Source organism: Homo sapiens, chromosome 11, assembly GCF_000001405.40.
Source record: "Homo sapiens chromosome 11, GRCh38.p14 Primary Assembly".
Lineage (NCBI taxonomy): Eukaryota > Metazoa > Chordata > Mammalia > Primates > Hominidae > Homo > Homo sapiens.
The window spans coordinates 123,939,120-123,944,912 of record NC_000011.10 but is presented as its reverse complement, the minus strand read 5'-3'; the positions used below and the strand labels follow the sequence as shown (position 1 = coordinate 123,944,912).

At 42.0% G+C, this 5,793-nt stretch overlaps 2 protein-coding genes across 2 annotated transcripts; one reads left to right on the top strand and one right to left on the bottom strand.

The window, feature by feature from the left end:
• Positions 1-1,074: 1,074 nt before the first annotated feature.
• Positions 1,075-2,046, top strand: OR6T1 (olfactory receptor family 6 subfamily T member 1). The gene has a single exon (NM_001005187.1). It carries the CDS (start codon positions 1,075-1,077, stop codon positions 2,044-2,046), a length of 972 nt encoding a protein of 323 aa, NP_001005187.1.
• A 2,293-nt stretch (positions 2,047-4,339) lies between these two features.
• OR4D5 (olfactory receptor family 4 subfamily D member 5) lies at positions 4,340-5,296 on the bottom strand. Its single transcript, NM_001001965.1, has one exon. The coding sequence runs from the start codon at positions 5,294-5,296 to the stop codon at positions 4,340-4,342; it is 957 nt and encodes a 318-aa protein (NP_001001965.1).
• Between the last annotated feature and the right edge of the window lie 497 nt (positions 5,297-5,793).

The window sequence follows — 5,793 nt, the reverse complement described above, 5'->3', positions numbered from 1 at the left end:
TTGTCTTAGAACATTTTCCATTTTCCCTGATTAGGCCAAATCTATGTGATTCTGAGTATTTGGTGCTAGATGTTTAAAAAAAAAAAAAAGAACCCAAGATATCTAATTGTCTAATGAAATCCAGTCCTTCAAAACATGTGGATACATTTTACAGGATTCCAAAAGCTCCAAGGACAAGATGAACATATCTCCAAATTAAGGCAAAAGTTGAGAAGGCAAGTTGATATATACCATCTCCTTTGAGACCATTCTCCCTTATTCCTCATTTTATACTATTAGAATATTGAGCAAGCTGAAGGTAAGAGAAGCTAGTAAGCATTCCACAAGGAAGAAGGATTTCTAGCATTCTACAGGAGTCTGGATTGGGGGAAAAAAGAAAAATAACACTTTATGACAGGACTGGGCTTTGCACAATCCGGTCCTATTTGGCTTCATGGCTGACTAATGAAAATTAAATCTCTGAGTATACCGAGAGCCCAGATTTTTAAATTCTGTTATTTTATGTCAAGCCAGGACACAGAAGGACCATAAACACTAAAATGAGAGTTCTTAATACCAGTAAAATTTGTTCATGGTGCATTTGTTCTGTGAAGTCTTCTCTGACCCCTCTACTCCTCTGGACTCGTCTAAAGCCACACTACTCACACGGTTCTCTGCCTGAGCTCAACAGTATCAGCAGCATGTGCTGGAGTCACAGAAGCTCAGTATGAAATCCTGCCTCTACCACCTGTTTCCTACCTGATCATAGAAGAGTCACTTAAACTCCCTTCGTCATCCTTTTCTTATCTTTGAAAATAGTAAAACATAGTTTTAAGAGTAGCTAGGAGAAGAGATACTGTGCACCGTGTAAATTTTCAGATATATAATTGATGTTCAATATTGCCATGCTGCTTACTATTGTAATTTGTTTCTCTCTTTGTAAGTCACGTGCAGACCAAACTATAGATCAACATATTCTCAGAATGTAAGGAAGTGTTGGGTGTTCAATATTATTTTACCGATTGGTTAAATGATGATTGGTAGCTATAGACCAGTTACAGAGTTCTGTTTCATTTCCCCTGCAGGTGACTGAAGATGAACCCTGAAAACTGGACTCAGGTAACAAGCTTTGTCCTTCTGGGTTTCCCCAGTAGCCACCTCATACAGTTCCTGGTGTTCCTGGGGTTAATGGTGACCTACATTGTAACAGCCACAGGCAAGCTGCTAATTATTGTGCTCAGCTGGATAGACCAACGCCTGCACATACAGATGTACTTCTTCCTGCGGAATTTCTCCTTCCTGGAGCTGTTGCTGGTAACTGTTGTGGTTCCCAAGATGCTTGTCGTCATCCTCACGGGGGATCACACCATCTCATTTGTCAGCTGCATCATCCAGTCCTACCTCTACTTCTTTCTAGGCACCACTGACTTCTTCCTCTTGGCCGTCATGTCTCTGGATCGTTACCTGGCAATCTGCCGACCACTCCGCTATGAGACCCTGATGAATGGCCATGTCTGTTCCCAACTAGTGCTGGCCTCCTGGCTAGCTGGATTCCTCTGGGTCCTTTGCCCCACTGTCCTCATGGCCAGCCTGCCTTTCTGTGGCCCCAATGGTATTGACCACTTCTTTCGTGACAGTTGGCCCTTGCTCAGGCTTTCTTGTGGGGACACCCACCTGCTGAAACTGGTGGCTTTCATGCTCTCTACGTTGGTGTTACTGGGCTCACTGGCTCTGACCTCAGTTTCCTATGCCTGCATTCTTGCCACTGTTCTCAGGGCCCCTACAGCTGCTGAGCGAAGGAAAGCGTTTTCCACTTGCGCCTCGCATCTTACAGTGGTGGTCATCATCTATGGCAGTTCCATCTTTCTCTACATTCGTATGTCAGAGGCTCAGTCCAAACTGCTCAACAAAGGTGCCTCCGTCCTGAGCTGCATCATCACACCCCTCTTGAACCCATTCATCTTCACTCTCCGCAATGACAAGGTGCAGCAAGCACTGAGAGAAGCCTTGGGGTGGCCCAGGCTCACTGCTGTGATGAAACTGAGGGTCACAAGTCAAAGGAAATGATCTTATTAAATGGGAGATTAAATGTTTATTGAAAATTTTTTAAATGTGCAAGAAGTTTAAGGGATGTAGGCAACACTGTTCACTTTTCTCAGCTAATGAAAGAACAGTCTTCATAAATATACAACATGAAATACGGTGGTAAACCTTCATTTTCCCTCCCTACAACCTTCCTTGTGCCTCCTCCTCCCCACAGAGAAGGCTGATCCAATTGGTCAAATTTCTTTCAAGATGGAATCCTTGGATTGGAGAGCATGTGTGAGCACGTGACCCGCATACAGGGAGGCTCCTCCTTCTCTTCGTGTGTGCTTAAACACTTTTCTTACTGCCTCAGTCTCCTGTGTCATGTAGCCAATCAGAAGATGCTGAAATATGGAGATTCAGATTTGGAGCTCAGTGGGGAGTAAGAGGGTCTCTGAGGTCTTCCAACTAGACTGGGTACTGCAAATAAAATTAACCAGAACCTCTGTATTATTAGAAAATCAAATTCTGGCTGCAGTAATAAATGGTTCTCTGATTTGCATTTGTTATTGCTCCTTATGTAACTAGCAGCTCCTATAGGAATCTCATAAAGGAAGAATGTTAAGACCAGTGAAATATTTGGATAGCCCTAATTCCTAAGTCAAACTCTACTAACAAACTCAAATATGGCAACAAACTGAAATATGGCAACACTCATTTAATCATTCCTTTAAGAAATATTATTAAATCTCTAATATGGCAAGGCTCCAACTAGGGTGAGCCAAGGAAGATGTCTACAGAACAAATTTTAAAGAGACATGCACTTTTAGGGGAGTGTTAGCGCAGGGTCAGGCTGTGTACAAACTCGATAGTAAATGTCTGCTCATTGTTGACATGAGGCCCCTCTGTTGCTGCACCCTCATCTAGGCTGTGGTGCTAGGCTTGGAGAATACAGTATTAAGTAAGCTAAACACGGCCCTTTCTTTTATAGAATTTATAGTATAGTGGGCGATGGCTGACAAAAAATATTAATAAATAAATACATAAATCAGTGTGTAATTGAAATCTGTGATAAATACTTTTGAGTTTTGTTAGAGAAACTAATAAGGACAAATTAATTCGGATTAAAGATCAGTGAACACATCTTTGAGGAAGTGACCTTTAGACCGAGGATTGAGATTGAGCAACAGTTTGCCAGGCAAGGATGAAGAGAAGAGCATCCCAGAGATAGCAAAGAGTATTTGCAAACTCAAGAAGTAAAGAGAAACTGACAGAAGTAAATGCAAACAGAGGGTTAGAAAAGAGTGGAGTTAGAGAAGTGAGATTGGAGAGATGGGTGGAGGCCAGGTCAGACAACATCTTATCTATAATAGTCATGTGGATTTTTTTTTTAAAGGCAATGGAAAGCCTCTGAGTGATTGTAAGGGAGAGAATGATCAAGTCATATTTTAAAAGATGGATCAAATGCCAAGTCTATCTATGATGTCAGTATAACTCACGATGATATAAACTCTATCTGTGATGACATAAACCCACAGATCCTTAGAATCTATAAGACGTTTTAGGTACTGTTGAGCACTTGGGCTCTGATGTTGTATAGACTTGGGTTGAATTCCAGAAAACAAGCTCTGTAGCCTTAAGTAAGTTATTTAATGTCTCTAATTTGTAATGGACTCATGTTTAAAGTAAAGATGATACCTACCTCCTAAGAATTTTGAGAAAATTAAAATAATAAATGTAAATCACCTGGTACAGTGTCTGGAACATAGTAAGTTCTAACTAAATGTTATTAATATGATGATGATGATGACACTGATGGCAACAACAGTGACCCTAGGAAACTATGAGGAAGAAAGTGATTTGCCCAAGGTAATTTCCTTTTTCCTCATTGACGAACAGTCAATCAATCAATCAGTCTCCACTGGGACTCAGGGTCCAATATTTCAAGAGAACCCTTGTCTCAAAGAAATTTAAAAATATTTTAAGCTCTTCCAATGTACTTTGTGTCCAAAAAGTGATATCAGGAAAGAGACACCAGATTTACTAGTTGAAACTTTCTCAGCAAGGCCAACATCATTCTTACGTGGGAAAGTGGCCCCTGAGCCAAACAGTACTTCTACATAGAACTTGATACTTTTTATCTGGGAGGCATTTAGAAGCAGTTCTAAGACACTCATCCCATCTTCTATTGTGGCTAATAGTTCAGGTCACCAGAACCTGATTGAGGTTAAGAACAATGGAGAAGAAGTAGGCATAGATTTTATCTACCTCGAGGGTCCTATCCAGCAGGCTAATACCCTGTAGCATCTTTCAGATTCTCAGGTCACTGCCTCTGCTAATGTAAGGGTCTGTGCTCCAGGGGACCAATAGGGTCCTTTTTCCTCCTCCACAGCTTCTTCATGGCCATGATCACTTCCTTGTTTCTCAGGGTATAGATGGCAGGATTCAGCATGGGGGTGACAATTGTGTATAGCACAGAGACGGCCTTGTCCATGGGGAATGTCCGAAAAGGCCTTGTATAGACGTAGATGCAAGGCACAAAGATTAAGGTCACCACAGCAATGTGAGAGGCACAGGTAGACAGGGCCTTGCTGCGGCCCTCCCGTGAGTGGCTTCGGAGCATGACTAGCAGTGCTGTGTACGATCCCAGAAGCACCAGAAAACACATCAGGGTCACCAGGCCATTGTTAGACACCATTAAAAGCTCTAAGACAAAGGTATCTGTGCAGGCCAATTTGATCAGCTGAGGCACATCACAATAAAAGTTGTCCAGCTTGTCAGGCCCACAGAATGGCAGCTGGATAGTCAATGCAATCTGTACTATGGAGTGGATGAAGCCCCCCACCCAGGAGGCTGCCATAAGGAGTGCACAGACAGTCTGATTCATAATGAGCGTGTAGTGCAGGGGCTGGGAAATGGCAATGTAGCGGTCATACGCCATGACAGTCAGCAGGAAGATCTTGATGCCTCCAATGAAGTGGAAGAAGAAGAGTTGAGTCAGGCATCCACCAAAGGAAATGGTAGGGTTGCCTGAGAGCAAGTCAACCAGCATCCTAGGTGCTGTGATGGAAGAGTAGCAAAAGTCCAGGAAAGAAAGATTGCCCAAGAGAAAATACATGGTTGTGTGCAGGTGTGGGTCGGAGGTCACTATGACCACAATAAGAAGGTTTCCCACTACAGTCATAAAATACACAGCAGAGAAAACAGTGAAGAAAACAAACCGAAGCTCCCAAACCTGAGAGAGCCCCAGTAGAACAAATCCTGCCACCTGGGAATGATTTGCTGGATTCATCTGGTTGGTATGACCTTGTCAATGAACCTGCTAAGAAAAAAGGACATATTATTCAGGGGATCTGCAAAGTTCTCTAAAATAATTCCCTCTGCTTCCTCTGGGAAATTCTTCACTCTTTCATTTTCCATAAGGAGAATGTTGTAAGTGGTTCTGCAGGACACCAAGCATTTGAACATCATATATTGGTGATATCAAACTCCAAAGGCATAAAACTCAGGATAGCACTCATACTATTTCTGGTTTATGAGAATCAGAAGTAATAAGCCCTCAAAAATTGAAAATGGCATGTAGAGAAGAGAGTGTTAAATGGAAAATGAATTTTGATTCTTCCAGTAACTAGTTGTGTAAACAGAAACAATTATCTGCAGTTCTTTAAGCCTCGCTTCCCTTGTCTATGCTATAAAATTAACCAAAATGTCCTCAAAGTCTCCTTTACTTTAATATTTGATACCATATATGGCCTTAATTTAGAAAACCTGATGCATCCCTGCATGCCA

Coding starts and splice junctions, on each gene's coding strand:
- OR6T1 (NM_001005187.1), top strand. CDS start 1,075: ATGAACCCTGAAAACTGGACTCAGGTAACAAGCTTTGTCCTTCTGGGT.
- OR4D5 (NM_001001965.1), bottom strand. CDS start 5,296: ATGAATCCAGCAAATCATTCCCAGGTGGCAGGATTTGTTCTACTGGGG.